This window comes from Homo sapiens, chromosome 4, assembly GCF_000001405.40.
Source record: "Homo sapiens chromosome 4, GRCh38.p14 Primary Assembly".
NCBI classification, from domain to species: Eukaryota; Metazoa; Chordata; class Mammalia; order Primates; family Hominidae; genus Homo; species Homo sapiens.
In genome coordinates, this window is record NC_000004.12 from 78,422,926 (window position 1) to 78,440,967 (window position 18,042).

The 18,042-nt window shown below is 38.0% G+C and overlaps 1 protein-coding gene across 2 annotated transcripts in view; it reads left to right on the plus strand.

Annotated features, from left to right (window-relative positions):
* Window positions 1-18,042, plus strand: part of FRAS1 (Fraser extracellular matrix complex subunit 1) — a 486,947-nt gene that overhangs the window by 365,603 nt on the left and 103,302 nt on the right. For both annotated transcript variants that reach the window (NM_025074.7, NM_001166133.2), the window contains exons 35-40: window positions 1,463-1,495; window positions 6,170-6,301; window positions 7,367-7,492; window positions 9,432-9,679; window positions 15,645-15,793; window positions 15,977-16,139. In NM_025074.7, the coding sequence (NP_079350.5) occupies window positions 1,463-1,495; window positions 6,170-6,301; window positions 7,367-7,492; window positions 9,432-9,679; window positions 15,645-15,793; window positions 15,977-16,139 (851 nt within the window). The remainder of the gene's footprint in view (window positions 1-1,462; window positions 1,496-6,169; window positions 6,302-7,366; window positions 7,493-9,431; window positions 9,680-15,644; window positions 15,794-15,976; window positions 16,140-18,042) is intronic.

Here is an 18,042-nt window from a genome sequence, read left to right on the forward strand (position 1 = left end):
GCAGAAGACACCTTTTTAATGGAAGGAAAGTCTGAGTGGAAGAATAACTAAGTTTCTCATTAAAGCCAGTGTGTGCCCTTCCACAAAGCCCAGCATACCCTTAATCCCTGCCACCTTATCTCTTCCCTTGATCCAGTCATCAAGGTTGCTGACCAGAAAGCAGGAGTTTTATGTCCCTACCCTTAAATATTTTTATGCCTTTGACTATTCCAAAAATATTAGTGCCTATTTCTTTCTTTTCTTTTTCTTTTTTTTTTTTAAGATGGAGTCTCACTCTGTCACCCAGGCTGGAGTGCAGTGGCATGATCTTGGCTCACTGCAACTTCCGCCTCCCAGATTCAAGCAATTCTCCTGCCCCAGCCTCCCGAGTAGCTGGGATTACAGATGGGTGCCACCACACCCGGCTAAGTTTTGTATTTTTAGTAGAGACGGGGTTTCACCATATTGGTCAGGCTGGTCTTGAACTCCTGACCTCGTGATCCACCTGCCTTGGCCTCCCAAAGTGCTGGGAGCCACTGCTCCCAGCCACTAGTGCTTATTTCTTTATGATCTTTAAGGTGTATGTACTACATAACACCATGGATATAGGGTATTCTTTTTATACAGTAGCTTTATTCATACACAAAAGTGGTGATTTCTTATGGTGAGTTGAACATGGTTTAAGTAATTTTAGACTTTTTTGATTATGGTAAACATTTAAAATGATGTTTGCCATTATTTAATATAAGTTTAATCGCCCAGAAAACAGTTAACTCCTCAATTAGATTGAAAATCTCTAACGGTGGGTATAGGCTTCCTCTTTAGTGTCTGTACACAGTATTTAGTAACTGGATAACTAATAGCCCATGAAAATGTTTATGGGTCTGTAACCCCTATGTTACAAGTCCTACTTCATAAGAAACACAGGATATCCTGGGATTAGAGGGAAAGAAAACATGTCAGCCGTGGTTGAAGTCATCCACTAAACTCGCCCGAGTTCCTAGAGCCTGTTCAGAGAGAGCAGAGTCCTATGCTGTATTATCTATGGGATAAATGCTGCAAGATAAATCTCTCACATGGTTACAGTGTGTAAATCAATGTCTCGGCATCACTCAGTTCTACAATGGAATTGACCCACCTGAGAGCCCTGTCAGTGATATACGACTCACCCGCATTCACCGATTTGTAGGATTTTATGTACTGTGATAAAATGGGTTCTGAATGAATGTATTATAAATCACGCTAACTGCTGCGATATAAAATTATTCCACTATGTGGTCCTTTTTGCTATTTAAAATTAATGTTGACACCATTAAATTCAACATAACATTAGCAAATGACCTGGTGATCTTTCCTTAAAAAAGAATAATTTAGATTAAAACATTCTTTAGCTTCCTAACCTCTGCCCTTTGTTTTGTACCTTTCCTATCTCTCTCTGATCCCAAAGTGTTTAATATACTGATTGTCTCTCTTACTCTTTTAGGTCTCCCAGAATCAGTGAAATTCCACTTCACAGGTAAAGATTCATCTAAATTTTACTAGAAAGTGAAATTTTTTCTTTCCTTATTAGTTCTTTCTTTTTGTTCCCATCATCATTATTTTTAGCTATTTTCTAAGAACTACTTAAAAATTATATAATTTTTCTTCTAAAACAAATTTCTTCTAAAATAAACAAATGGTTAGTTAAATAGTAATAGCTTAACTTTATAGTCATAGGAAAAAAATCTACCAATGATGCTAAAAGTTAATGTTTAAGAGCCAGGCATGGTGGCTTATGCCTGTAGTCCAGCACTTTGGAAGGCTGATGGGGGAGCATCACTTAAGCCCAGGGGTTCAAGACCAGCCTGGACAACAATGCAAGACCTTGTCTATAAAAAAAAAAAACAACTTATCTGGATGATGGTGGCACATGCCTGGAGTCCTAGCTACTCAGGAGGATCCCTTGAGCCCAGGAGGTCAAGGCTAGAGTGAGCTATGACTGCACTACTGCACTGCAGCTTGGACAATAGTGAAACCTTATCTCAAGAAAAAAAAAAGAAATTAATGTTTAAGCCCAATTTCAACATGTCCTAATATCCATTAAAGAGTTAATAGTAACTAAGATCCTAAGCCCTGCATCCAGATGACCTGGGGTTCAGCTTGCCCTGGGAAAGTTTCTTACATCTCTGTGCCTGAATGCCTCATTCTTAAATGGGGATAATAATAATAATAATAATAATAATAATAAATATAAAGCTCCAAGAATGATTATTGCTACATAATCATTACTATATTATACTTAGCTAATAAACAGTAGTTGTATAAAAGTCTTGAATAGAGCCATTCATGGAATCCCTTGTTACTGGAGGGAAAAGGCTTACTACCCAGAGGCGAGTTGAGAAACTTGGGTGTGGAAGACCTCTGCTTTCCTAGTTTTAGCTCATAGTGCAATAGAAGCAGGATGCCAATCAGCAAAAGCAGAGTCAGACCTGGTATCTATGCTGGGCCACCATAGGATAAGCTTCTTTCTTGTTTAGGTCTATAGTGAGGATGATTGACCATAAATAGCATCATTAAATTGCTGTTTAGATGGGATTGACTATTCCATTAGAATCAACCATCCATGCGCACTGTTACATTTCATGGAGGGAAAAATGTTAGCAGTAGAGTTGCCTCTCTATAACTCCCAGCTCTTCCTTTCTTCTATGAGGATTAAAAATCGCACTTGAATCAATAGTAAATTTCAGTGTTGTGTTACTGTTGATATGAACCCAGTATCAGCTCATTTCTAGTCATAGGCCTCTACATAATTCATACAATCAGTAATGATATATGGCAGATTTTTATATTTTATAAAACAATTTACAATAAAAATTGTACTATTTAATTCTTATAACAATATTTTAAGGATGGATATTATTTTCAGCATTTTAAACCTAAGGATACCAAGTCATTAAGAGTAGATAACCTGGCCAGGTGCAGTGGCTCACACCTGTACTCCCAGCACTTTGGGAGGTGTGAGGAGGGAGGATTCCTTGAGCCCAGGAGTTCAAGACCAGCCCACGCACATAGTAATATTCCTTGTAGTCTCAACTACTCAGAAGGCTGAGGTGGGAGGATTGCTTGAACTGGGGAGGTTGAGGCTGCAGTGAGACATCATTGTGCCATTGCACTCTAGCTGGGTGACAGAGTTAGACCCTGTCTCAAAAAAAAAGTAGATGATCTGCTCAGATTTCCACAGCAGGTAGACAGTAGAAGCAGGATTTTAATACAAGTTTCTGACTTAGAGCATGAGCATGGAATAGCTAGTTTAGTCTGACATGTATGTGTGTTGGTTATGAAAAGTGAGTGTCATGGTAGTATGCCATTTTGGTTTCCAAGCCTCAACTCTTACCTGAAAGCTTGAGTAGGTGAAGGGTTAACAATTAACTTGTCTAGGACTTTAAGTTAAATGATCTTGAACCTATTATACAGTCCCATGGGCCTAGACCTTGGGCTGACCTTAAATTATCTTGCTTCTGCCAGATGTTCCTTTTTTATTGATTTTAAAGAAGAAAAACCCTTGGTATCTAGTAGAAAGCCATGTCGTTTTGGAGAGTTTTGTGAGAGAGAATTTTAAATTGGACAGTTAATGAATAAGGCAGGAAAAAGCCCAAGAGCTGACATTAATTTGTAGAATGAAGGAGAACCACCCATTTTGGTGAATCAGCTAAGATGAGAAGGAAGGCTGATGTTCCTGGGACCTGACTGACTTTAGGACAAATGCAGAAGCTCTGGAGAGCAGTTCTGAGCAAGGAACACACTTAAGGCAAGTGGTGCTCACAGGGGCATTTAGCCCAAAAAGGCATTTGACTGTTTCTCAAAGAAATTAGAGACATTCCTTAAAGAGAGGGATAAATATGCAGTTGCTGACATTTTGATTGGAAGTTTATATGATTGCTTGCAAAACCCTGCACCCAAGTGATAGCTAGTTATGTAATATGCACCAGAAAATAGCTTTTTTCCACTTACTTACAGAGTCAAGAATATGCCTTGTTCACACTAAACAGCTGTATGATGTGACCAAAGCTCTTTAATTTTGTACCTTTTCCCTCCTCCTGTAAAATAAGGATGTTGAAAGCTTCCTGGACTTCCTCCCTGGTATGGTTTGAATGTCCCTTCCCAAACTCATGTTGAAACTTAATCCTCAATGTGGCAGTATTGAGAGGTGGGGCTTTTACAAGGTAATTGAAACCTGAAGGCTCTGCCCTCATGAATGGTTTAATCATTAATGGATTAGTGGATTAATGGTTAATCATGGGAGGGGAGCTGGTGGCTTTCTAAAAAGAGAACAAGAGACTTAAAATCACAAGCTCAGCCCCCTCGCCACGTGACTGCCTACACTGCCTCATGACTCTTCACAGAGTCCCCAACACCAGGAGGCTCTCACCAAATGTACCCCCTCAACCTTGGACTTCCCAGCCTTCATATGTGAAAGAAATAAATTCCTCTTCTCATAAATTACCCAGCTTTAGGTTTTCTGTTATAAGCAACAAAAAATGGACTAAGACATTCCCACTCAGAAATAAAACTAATGTAAAATATAAAGTAAAATAAAATTGCATTTTGCAACTAGTTCTTATCTTAGATTACAGAGACATCAGAGCATCCTGAATCCACTAAAACTTATGAAAAAGTTTGTATGCTTGTCACCAAATCCCCAATAATTAAGAACCATCTGTGCCTATTTTTGAAGATCCAGAGAGGAGATCAAATGTAAAGAAGCAATGACAATAATTTTGACACTTGTCTGAATGACCAGAGCCATAAAACCTTCATTCTCACATGGATAATGTCGTCTTACCTTCAATAGGGCTGTTTCTGAACATCTCCAAGACATGGAGTGTACCTTATAAAATTTAACCATATCTTTCAGATCTGTCTCAAGGGAAAGACAAATCTAAAACTTGAATAGAATCATTACTACACGTCGCTGAGCAATGCTTGACTTTGCTTAAGCAAGATTCTTGCTGGCTTGTTAGTAAGTCCAGAAGAAAGTGAGGAAGGAAACTAGTTTCTCATAACCAACACATAGACAAGCTTATCACACATTTAAAATAATTAACAGTGCAGTTTTCTTAAAGACCACTACAGATAAACACATTGATGAGCTGATGATGCAAATATCCCTCCAAAACTGGCTTTTGGGGAAAAGATAGGGTGTTAAGTTATGGAAAAGTGGAAATAAGCATCAAGGGTGAGGCAATTCTGCTCTCGTATTTTCCTCAGAGATGGATGTTCACTTGGATGTCAAAAAATCCAGGGAAATAAAATCTTAAGGTCACTGTTTTGTTCACTATTTATGTCATTGTGCATCATGACCAAGTAAAAATGGATCTGCTTACTTCCAAACTAATGACATTAGAGACATTGGTATGGGTATTGTCTGTCCTTTTAAAAAGTATTCTTTTTTTTTTTGAGACGAAGTCTCGCTGTATCGCCCAGGCTGGAGTGCAGTGGTGCAATCTCGGCTCACTGCAAGCTCCGCCTCCCAGGTTCACGCCATTCTCCTCCCTCAGCCTCCTGAGTAGCTGGGACTGCAGGTGCCCGCCAACATGCCTGGCTAATTTTTTGTATTTTTTAGTAGAGATGGGGTTTCATCGTGTTAGCCAGGATGGTCTCAATCTCCTGACCTCGTGATCCGCCTGCCTCGGCCTCCCAGAGTGCTGGGATTACAGGTGTGAGCCACTGTGCCCGGCCAAAAGTATTCTTTTCTAATGAGACATAGACTTGCCACTTCTAAAAGAGTTCATGAAAGAAAATATTTATTTGGAATAATAAGGGAATGAATTGAATCAAGAAATATTTCCATAATCAAAAGCCTTTACCAGTAGCATCTATGGGTGCAGATTTTGTGTTACCTTCCTTTCCACTAACATTTATCAAGATCACCTTTGTTGTGAAAGTAGCCTCTTAGAATGATTTTGTTATTATGGTTCTTTATCTTTTTTCTTATCCATAGAAAAAAGAATAGCTCACAGTATCTTGCTTGCTTACTTTCTTCATTTGTAAGCATCTCTTCAAAGGTTAAAGTAGTGCAAAAAAGTTTCTAGCTACATATTTGTGGAAACTGCCTGAAGAGGACCAGACTACAAGTTGATTCGTGTGTGTGTGTGCGTGTCTCTGTGTGTGTGTGTGTGTCTCTGTGTGTGTGTGCATTTATCCTTTTTAGTTTCAGATGGAGAACACACAAGTCCGGAGATGGTCCTCACCATTCACTTACTTCCCAGTGATCAGCAACTGCCAGTGTTCCAGGTCACAGCTCCACGGCTGGCGGTCAGCCCAGGAGGCAGCACTTCTGTAGGTAAGAACTGGGAGCCTGATAGAAACATGGCTTTGGAAATGGGATCATATTGCTGCCCCTCTTCAAACCTCTTGATGGTTGCCAAAAAAGCAAACTCTTCTTCCAGAAGTTGCCTGCATTCTCACCTGTATCCTTCCTCCTGCCCATTTCTATGCAAACAGAAGCCGCACAGAGAGAAGGAAATGAAGCCTTCAGAGGCCAGTGTTCAGTGGTGGAACACAACACAGAACTGATTTTCCGGGAGTTTGCTTTGATGCCATCACTAAAATATAAAGTAATAGAGCGGCGAGAAGAACATAGAGGGGAGCAGGATTTCAATGGCGGCTCTTGTTTCTATTTAGAAAGTGAAGAGTAGCAGGAGAAATGTCAGGTCACAAGAAGCTTCAGAAGTTGTGAAGAACTAGAGTTGACCCAGTTATTTTGTATATAATTATATGTACTAATTAGTGAATTTAATCTTTAGAAATGTATTCTTTTATCAAGAACATTTTACTAATAAACAGTAGGTATTGTGATTTTTGTTAGGTGTGTTCTAGAGATCCTTATCCAGTTTCTACATATGGGGTTTGGCCTAAAATTAATTTTTACCAAACTTACAAATAAGCCATGTGTACAAGGATGCCTGTCACTTTAACCCTGCACCTCACCTTTGTGATCATTGCTCACTTGGCTCTTTGTAGCTTTAGAAAAATAAGAAGGGACAAAACAATGAAATGCCAAACAATTTATAGGAGGATTTTCTGGAAGAAAATCTAACCCAGCTAGTCAGGGTTGACCTACCTGTGGGCTTCCTCTGTGCATGCTGTCATTTGTATGGAAGAAAAAAGGTGTTCTAAATTCAGAACTACCTTACATGAACTTTTGGAAGCACCTACTTGCAGTGTAGGAATTGACTGTATTATCTGTTTTTACTCTTTTGTGCCTGATTGGAATGAAGCAGTGCTTTCTGATAACAATCAGATTACCCACAGCATGACTCCTAGCCTGGCCTGCGGTTTTAATATATAGTCTATCGTCTTTAACATACGCTTTCTCTCTCACCACGCTTCCTTCTCCTTGCTGCAGGACTTCAGGTGGTAGTAAGAGATGCTGAGACAGCGCCCAAAGAACTCTTCTTTGAGCTTCGGAGACCTCCACAGCATGGTGTGCTTCTTAAGCATACAGCTGAGTTCCGAAGGCCGATGGCCACAGGTAGCTACACACCTACACACTCTGTCACTGACCTGCTTGGAGGATTTTTTGCTCTACAATCAGTTGTTATGTGTCTCAGACGAGAGCAAAGCGTCTTTGTGATACAGACTATGAGGAGCTATTTTGTGTGTAGTTTCATTGGCTTTGATATTTGAGACTTCTTCGTGTTCCCACTTCCATCCCTGCCCCACACCTGCCCCCGGCCCCACCTTGAACCCTGTGAAACCAGTTCCTTAAACTATAGGTGAAATGGGTGATTTCTGAAACTTGGAGTAAATGCATTCAGAATGACACCATATGAGGGATCAGCTGCCACTTTCCTAGCACTGTTCATGGAGATGAATCGGTCTTAATTTGGTATGTGAATCTTCACAATATTTTTAGCGCTGTGACTCTGATAGTGTTAACTACATCTATCTTCATCCATTAAAAAAAGGAACACATTTTTGAAGTATTATCTATGTGATATAACAGTGTGGTAATGTGATCGGCTTTCCAAAATAACTCTTATTGTGCTTCCTTTGATTATAAAAAATAATATATGTTTATTATTTAGAAGGTACAGAAAAACACAAAGAACACAAGTGAATCTAATTTTTTAATAGTCAGCCCTTATTCATTGAAGTGAATATTATCCTTTTCAAAGTACCCACCTCTGGATGCTATATGTTCTTCCAACAATCTCTACTTTCTCAAAACCTTTGTATGATTCCTTTTAGAGATGCAGTAATCCATCCTTCTGAATATCACTGGTGGGCTAATCTTTGCTACTGATGGTAGATGGAATTTTAAAGAACAACCAGTAAGCATTTGGGAGTCACAAAGGTAGACTCAAAAATTTACTGAACTAAAGAAATGTCATTAGAATAGATTTGAAACATTCCCAGGAGACTACTTTAGGAACATAACAGTCATTGTCTAATTTCTTTAACATTGCATTTACTCTGTATATGTGCAGTTAACATATAAAATCTAAAGGCGTTGATAAAAAGTTAGTTTTATTACGTTTTCATAGGCATAATGCCACGAGCACCAGTAAAATACATTAACACAGTGTTGAGACAGAAGGCTTAGAAGATGAATAGACAGAATGAGTAAATTCTTCAATCTCAATACATAGCACTAGTTATTAGAACTAATAATCTATCAAAAGATAGAGTTGAATATAATATCCAAGAAGAGCAATTTCACAACTGTGTTCTGTGAAATCATTAGGGCTCATGGCACTAAGAGGCATTTCTCATAAAAAGGGTTCCATGACAAGTTTGAGAAGCTTTAATACTTATATACTAAAATGAATCCTGCAGTATAAAAAATATCTTAAATTTTATTTATTCACATTTTCCACAAAGGTATGTGAACTTGAAATTTTTTTTTACATAATGCCGATCAAATTTCTCATGAATTAGTACTCCAGACTGCACAGTTTAGGTTTCTAACTTAAAGTATATTTTTTTCATTTTTAATTTTAAAAACTCCAAATAAAGCAAAAACTTCTTAAAGGTTCATCAAGTATAATTTATTTTCTTAACTTTTTCAAAAAATTTTCAGTATCAAGATAAGATTCCAAAAGAGCTGTCATAAAGAATAGAGGCTTGTTCTTTATTTTTCTAGAACTAGGAATAATGACTAGATATTATAGAGGCAGATTTTAGCTCAATATGATTAAGAACTTAAAAACAAACCTAGAGCTATCTTCAGTGGAATTAGCTATCTTGTAAAACAATGATCCTCCCACCTTGAAAAGTGGAGAAACTAATTACCCTTTTTCAACGGTGGTGTAAAGGGAATCCTATAGTAGGTGAGTGGTTGGATTAGCCTGTAACTCCCTGAGTTATGATCCTATATGAACCTTAAAGTCCTGAAAACAAAGGTGCTATATAATGAAAAGCATTATTCCCAGAAGCAACTCGTTTGCAATTTGTTTTATTCTTGGAAGGTGACACTTTCACCTATGAGGATGTTGAGAAAAATGCTCTACAGTATATACATGATGGTTCCTCTACCCGGGAAGACAGCATGGAGATCTCAGTCACAGATGGCCTCACAGTGACAATGCTGGAGGTGAGAGTAGAGGTGTCCCTGTCAGAAGACCGAGGGCCTCGACTGGCTGCTGGCTCCTCTCTGAGCATTACTGTTGCCAGTAAAAGCACAGCCATAATCACTAGGTCACACCTTGCTTACGTGGTAAGTTCTTCCATTTGCTGTGTTTGTTCTCCACCGCCGCATCTTCTGATGGGGCAGACTGGGCAGCAATGCCATGGCTGAATATTTGGGGCAGCAGGTATATGGTCACGTAAAGAACATTTTTCTCAGCTTCCCTACCTTCTACTGTTAGGAGTAGTTATGCTGTTTATCCTGCTTCTCCCAGTGTCTCATGAGCAGACAAGTGAATGAGAAAACACGATGAGTATGTGTAGGGATGGGTGTTTGTCAACAGAAGAGGGGCCTAGTGCCATAAAAGCCCAAGTTCCCATTGTTTAAGCTCCATTCATTATATTCCCAATGGGAAGTTTAGGAAAAAAACATTTTAGAGCTTATGTGATCAATGACTAGTAGGTAATGATGTTTCACAGCCCCTGAGAGAAAGCCCACTTGTCATCAGTTTCTGTCTCAGGTCTAGTCTAGATGGAATGCTGAAAAATCCCTGCAGCAGTGCCTCTCTGTCAGATTTCCCAGCCAGTTCACTGACTCACCCTCCTTCTTTTGCCCCACAAGAAGCAGTGTAATTAGGAGGCCAAGGAGAGGATCAAGGACTAGAGTTTGTTTCCTGGTCTGGCCCTAACTTTATAAGTGATCCTGGGTAATTAAACTCATCTTCTTCCTTTGATTCTACCTCAGGAGCTAAGGATAATGAGGATGATTAATTTTATTTTACAGTTATGTATGTTGTAAGCAGATATGTGCTCTCTATGTAAACATAATAATGACTAGTTTTTACAATGCCTTGAAAGGAAGAATGATTATCTGAATGCTAATCATATTGAATTTTTCCTTTACTAATCTTAAAGTTCCAACTAATGACCTAGACTTTTATTTTTTTAATGCCGTATACTTTTAAGTAACCCTTTTCTGGGCTGAAGAATCTCACTATAAAATGTAGTCCTGAATAGCAGCATGTAAGATCAAGCATTAGCCTGGGAACAATTGCTTTTACACAGATTTTCCCCTCAAATGGTCCTTTCTTCAGTTATGGGAGACTGCATTCCACCCTAATTCTTCTCACGGGTCTATTCTAGTTTCAGAACAGCTTTGATTTTGTTTTTTGTTTTTAATTGACAGGTGATTTTTACTGTAAGTTATGGTTTTTTGAATCTTATGAAACTCGTGAATTCATAAAAATGTATGAATTCAGATTTAATCAGACGATCACCAGAGCTTGAAAAATGTTTCACAGTCCAAAATAGCGCTCCAGGAGCAGTTCCTGCCCATTAACTGCATATTATAAGCTGCATATCAAAATGCAAGCCCATTGGCAACTGAATATGTATTTTCAGAAATTGATTGAATGTGAATTTACCCACCAGAGCAGAAAAACTCCAAAAGAACTATTCTAGCCTGCTGAAAGCATAGCATACATTTTAAAGACTTAGGTAGGTTATACACTAACTTTCTCTAAGGGTTGTAGAAGGATTTTGTACTAAGAGTCATGGAAAAACTTTTCCAGATATGCATAGTTAGAAAGTTTTCAGTGAACATGTAGAAAGATTGGAAAAGCCATCTGAAATCCTAGTCACAAATGGGGCAGAGTATAAAGGTTTAGGAACAGATGAGTCTGTTCTTAGTTTAAGTGTTATTAACTGGAAGAGAGTGATACAATGTTGGAGGAGACAAAAAGGCAAAAGTTGGATTTTGTATAATTTGCTTCTTAGCAGTGGTCTTATATACACAGTTTGCTATGCACTGCGAGTAAACAGGAAAAGAACAGCATGGGTTCTGGAGTTAAAATGGATGGATCTTAATCCAAGCTCACCACTTACTAGCATTGTGACCCTTAGCAAGTTACTTAAACTCTCTAGGCCTCGGTTTTCCCATATGTAATATGGGAAGGATAAAATTAATCTTAAAACGGTAATAGCATTTCTATGAACCAGCCAAAAATAAAATTATTTGAAATATGATTCTGTGTATAATAACATTACATATTACATACCTATGAGTAAATGTAACAAAAGTTATGTAACTTCTAGGGAAAATTGATGCTATGACTGACTATGTAGAAAATAATCTCTTGACAAAAAGTATTAGAAAAAAAGGAGAATTTATCAAGGAGCCAGATATGAGATCAACAGACAGCAATAGCATTTCTATATATAAGCAAAAAAAGAAAAAAGCCAGTAAATATAACTAAAAAGATCTTACCATAATAGCATTAAGAAAAAAGCATGTCCCCTGGTCTAAATCTAGCAAAAACCAGGCAGTATTTTTACAGGGAAAATTATAACATTTAATTGACAGATGTTTAAAACGTATTAAATAAATGAAAAGACATGCCATATTCATGAGTAGGAACATTTAGTATTGAAAAGGCATCAGTTCCCTTACCAAACGATCTTTCAATTCAATTCAGTTCCAATCAAAAGCCTAATGGACTTTTTATGGAACTTAGTAAGCTGATTCTAAAATATGTAAGAAAGAACACCAGCCTGGACAACATGGCAAGACCCTGTCTCTACAAAAATACAAAAATCATCCAGGCATGTTAGCTCATACCTGTAGTCCCAGCTACTTGGGGGCTGAGGTGGGAGGATTGCTTGAGCCCAGGAGGTTGAGGCTGCAGTGAGCCTTGATTGGACCACTACACTCTGCACTTGCTCCAGGGTGGATGACAGAGCAAGCCCCTTTCTCAAAAACAAACAAACAAACAAAAACAAACAATGAACATTCTGAAAAAGAATATTAGGAGGGCAAGGGGATTTACCTTACCAGATACCAACATGTATGAAATATACAGCATTTAAAATAGTGTAGCAGAGGAATATATTAGACAATCCAAAAGCAGACTCACACATGGAACTGTAATATAAAACAGAGATGCTAGCTGGGTGCGGTGGCTCATGCCTGTAATCCCAGCACTTTGGGAGGACGAGGCATGTAGATCATTTGAGGTCAGGAGTTTGAGATCAGCCTGGCCAACATGGCGAAACCCTGTCTCTACTGAAAATACAAAAATTAACCCAGCATGGTGGTGTGCAACTATAATCCCAGTACTCAGGAGGCTGAGGCATGAGAATAGCTTGAACCCAAAAGGTGGAAGTTGCAGTGAGCCAAGATCATACCACTGCACTCCAGTCTTGGCAACAGAGTGAGACTCTGTCTCAAGAAAAAAAAAAAAACAACCAGTCATAGCAAGCCGGAGCAGTGGAAATAGGAGAAACTCTTTAAAACATGGTTCTGCACAAAATGATTATATGTATGACAAAAAAGGAATTTGTATACTGCCTCACACCCTATGCAGATATTAACTACAGACAGATCAAGTACTGAAAAACCATAAGTAAAATTTTACAAATCTTTGTAGAATATAAGTTAATATTTTTTATGATATTAAGGAAGGGCGGAACATCTTAAACTAGAAACAAAAAGGTCTAACTATAAAAGATTGGTAAATTTGACTATATTAAAAATTAAATTTGTGCTCATCAAAACACACCACAAAGCAGCAAACAGGCCAGTTACAAATGGGAAAACGATATTTGCAAAAAATATAACCAAAAATAACAAAGAAAATATAACACTCCTGCAGATCAAGAAGAAAAAGATAATCAAGTAGAAAAATAAGCAAGAGACATGAACAGGAATTCCACAGAAGAGGAACCCGGGTGGTCAATAAACATATGAAGAGATAGTCGCCTTCATTAGTGGTCAGGGAAAGCATATTAAAACCATATACCATTTTATACCAAGTGTGAGGAAGACAATGGATCCACAGGATGTTCTTTACTTTGCTGGTGGGAGCGTAAACTGGATCAACCACTTTGGGAAGGAATTTGGCATTGCCACGTGAAGATGAATATTCATATACCCTAACCATTCTAATCCTGGATTACTACCCAAAAGAAACTTTCACATGCACAGCAAAGAACTTGTGCAAGAATGTTCATAGCACTACTGTTTGTAACAGTGAAAATATTGAAACAAACCAAATGCCCACCACAAGATAGGATAACTTGTGGTCTACTAACTTGACAGAATATTAGCGAACCTAAAGACAGATGAATTATAGCGACGTCCAACAGTATAGATGGATCTTAGCAGTCTAATGTTGAGTTAAAAAAAAAATTGCAAAAGAGTAAAGTCAACTTCATATTTCTTTTTTTCATATTTCTAAGTTAAAAAAATGAAAAATATGTATTCTGTAGTAATATATCAAGCTATTTTTAAAAATTCAAGAAAATAAGAAACAAGATTTAGGGTGATGGGAGGCCCAGAGACAGGAAGAAGGGCCACATACATAAATGTTAGTTATTCTCAAAGCTCTAGTCCTCGTGTTGAATGATGGGTTCATTGATGTAAAAATAATGAAAAGAAAATGAAAAAATAAATTAATACAAAAGGGATAAGAAGATCTTTGAGCAGAAAAGTTACCTGAGAACAAGGTCTGTATTCTTATGCATTTTTTGTACCTCCAGTATCTGGGATATCTTAAAATAGTGATTTTCTTTAAATCATGACAGTACTTTCAGGAAAAAAGTCTAGCTGATTTCCTACTTTTTCAAACCTAGCAGTTATATGAGATTTGAAATATATAGTAAGATATGCCTGCCATGAAATAAGCAGTGTTTTGGTCAAATTTGTCAATGTGAAATTTAGAAGTTATTCATTCTAACTAGGAGCCAGGAGCTCTGTCCTTATAGTTTATCAGCAATTCAGAAGACAACACCTTAAAACTCTCAGCTGTCTTTTTAAAAGTCTCTCTCAGAGAGAACGCACAGTAATATTAAGAAGCAGTCTTTTGGAGTCTATATGTTGTATTTGATAATCCAAGTGGAGAAAGTTTAAAAGAACATAAATTTAGGGAAAACTTTCTGAAGTCTTGCAGCTTTGATGAATTTTAGATTCCTTTCTTGCTAGTGTCAAGTGATATGAGGAAATATGGAAAATTCAGTGATCTTGAATTGAGACTCTGAACTACTAACTTTGATAGGTCTCTGGGGATAGAAATGAGAACAGACTGAAACCTGTTGGCCCCCGCCCTCTTGGTGTCTGTGCTCACATTCCTGATCCTGTACCTCAACTAACTGTACAACATAGCATGAAAATTTGCTTTTGAAAGTACAAGTGACCATGCAACATTAATTTTCATTGTTGCTGTGGTAAAGGGCAGAGTGCCCCCATTTTCACAATCAACAGCCCTAAAAAATGAATGACTCAGGGAAACTTTATAAGAAGATGTTGCCTGCCTCCCAGATATTTCCAAAAATATTCTTGAAGAAACAGGACATTGTTATTGTCTGTGTTGAAACAGAGAAAGTCATTTTTATTTCTCAACAAACAATGTAGAAGGGAAGAGAAATGTTCTTTGTTAAGATTAGGCATCTTGGGAAGTGAACATTCATAGATTTGGTGCTGATAAAATGAAATCCATGACTTCATACATTCTTTTGTTAATCTAAAATTTTATCACGTTGAACATTGCTTAAAGTGAGCCATTGGCTAAGCTAAATAACTTTTCTGTTTCATGGAATTTTATTATCGTATTATATGTTATAAAGAAATTTTGCCTGTTTCTTAAAAGCAAAACATTCTTAGAAACTCTAGAAAAATCCTACATCTGTGTTTACAGGTTGATGACTTATAGATGATCAAGTTTTATTTTTACTAAAAGCTTAAAAATGAAATCTTGTATGGCTTTTATGGTATTGATAACAACAGGGAATCTCTTTGTTTTATGCCACATACCTAAAGTGCATTTCCCTTCTCTTACCTTGAGCTACTCTTAGAAAAATATGTTATCAAAGAGGAATTTGGGGAAGAATAAACACTGGGATTTTTATTGTAGTTTGAAATACAAAGAGAAAGAGACTTTAAGACAAAGAGAAAGAGACTTTTCCAATTAGCAGAGAGAGAAGCACCCATAGATCTTTAGCTACTGGAAGTGTTTATTCCTGCAAATGTGCGTTCATGTCCTGCCTCATGTTTGCCTCATTAGGATGATTCTTCCCCCGACCCAGAGATCTGGATTCAGTTAAATTATCTGCCCTCATATGGTACTCTCTTAAGAATCTCAGGATCTGAGGTGGAAGAGCTCTCAGAAGTTTCCAATTTCACAATGGAAGACATCAATAACAAGAAAATCAGGTACATAATCACTTTGTATTATTTGACAGATTCTTAAAAACTTGTATGAAAATATTTCAGCAACTGGTTGTAGCTCTGTTGAAAGAATATATTGGTTTGGCCCCATTTTTAAACAAAGATGCTGCTGTCTTACCTGGCTTGTCATCGTGGCTTATTCATTTGATTCTTTTTGTTTTTTTATAGATACTCAGCTGTGTTTGAAACTGATGGTCATCTGGTTACTGATAGCTTCTATTTCTCTGTCTCTGACATGGACCACAACCATCTGGATAATCAGATATTTACCATCATGATCACTCCTGCTGAAAATCCACCTCCAGTCATTGCTTTTGCTGACCTTATCACGGTAAACAATTCTCAGATCAATAAACAGTGAGTACTATAGAGAGCTGGAATCCGTAGTAATGTAAATGAAGGATTTCTGCCTAAATTGGCTGCCAAATATTTCCCCCAAAATATCCAGGCAGCGGTATGAAGATATGCATGGTTTTCAATCATGAGTGTTTTTTTAAGTATGAAAATAAATATGCAGAAGATCAAATCATTATATCTGCATTATTTAGTCAACAAATATTTATGTGCTAGCCACCATGCTAAATGTTGTTAGTACTGGGAATAAAAATAGAAAAATATTATATCTTTGAGGAGTTTACAATCTAATATTGGCAGCAACTAAAACTTGGACAATGACCCCAAATCACTCCTTAAATCAAGTCAGTACTTAGCACTGTAAACAATATTGACGGTTCCTTTGTGGGCAGAGCAATACAATGCATTCTGATCATTGAATACCCAGACATCAGTTCAAGTGCCAGTTCTGTGACTCATCAGCTGAGTGACCTTGGGCCGTACACTTAATCTTTCTTTGCCTCAGCTTCCTTGTCTTTTATATTTTTATTTATTTTATGTTTTGTTTCCTTGTCTTTTTTAATTCTCTTATTTATTTTTATTTATTTTTAAGAGAGGAGGTTTCACTGTGTTGCCCAGGCTGAACTGGCAACTCTTGGGCTCAAGCAATCCTCCCCGCTCAGCCTCCCTAGTAAGTGAGACTATGGACCTGTAGTCCCATACCTGGCTCTTGTCTTTAAAATATTATCATTTTCTACTACATAAAGAATTTCTCTAATGATTAATAAAATAGTATGGAAACCCCCTAGTGCAGTACCCAGTTCATGGTAGGGATTCCACAGAAGTTAATTCACTTTCCTCCCTGCTCTATGTACATACCATAATGCCAAAAGCTCAGGAATTTTTCTGGTTTTGTTGAGCAACTGAAAATTCATAAAACTAAGTCATTTCTTTTTTTTTTTTTTTTTTTTTTTTGAGACGGAGTCTCGCTCTGTCGCCCAGGCGGGACTGCGGACTGCAGTGGCGCAATCTCGGCTCACTGCAAGCTCCGCTTCCCGGGTTCACGCCATTCTCCTGCCTCAGCCTCCCGAGTAGCTGGGACTACAGGCGCCCGCCACCGCGCCCGGCTAATTTTTTTTGTATTTTTAGTAGAGACGGGGTTTCACCTTGTTAGCCAGGATGGTCTCGATCTCCTGACCTCATGATCCACCCGCCTCGGCCTCCCAAAGTGCTGGGATTACAGGCGTGAGCCACCGGGCCCGGCCAAACTAAGTCATTTCTAAGTGGTTCTGATATTCCTCCCATTTTTCCATTTTTACATAAAACCTTGGAAAAGCCATTTGGACTGTCCCCATTCCCAGAGTCAGAGTGACCTTCCCCTTTGTAATTTATAGATCTTCCTACAGTTAGCCAAGAGTTGTTCAGGGTGAAATTGCTTGACCATCTCCAGCAGGCTAGAGAAAAACACCAGGCTCAGATTGTGGGGTTAGCATACAAAATAGAGCTCTAAAGGAAAAAAAATTAGTTTGAGCAACTGCTTTTACTTATAGTGATTTATTTTCTTCCTTGACATTAAGATAAGCACTAGCTTTCAGATATGGTGAACCTTTCTTGCTACACACCTATAAATATATAATATAAGAGAATAAACAGGACTTTTATTCTGGATGAGAATGCCTATAGGACACAGTCACCCTCACAGTATCCGCAGGAGAACTGGATCTATCATTCTCTAGCTGTGGGCTTTTGAATGTTGATGTGGAAGGAAGGCAGCCATCCTGGCAGGCAGCTGAACCGAGGTGGGTGATTAGAATGGGCTAGAGCTGCTTTATAACCAGATCCATCATTGAATGGAGTGCAACTTTGAAGGGAGATACAGAAGTCATCATGTCTGACTGTAG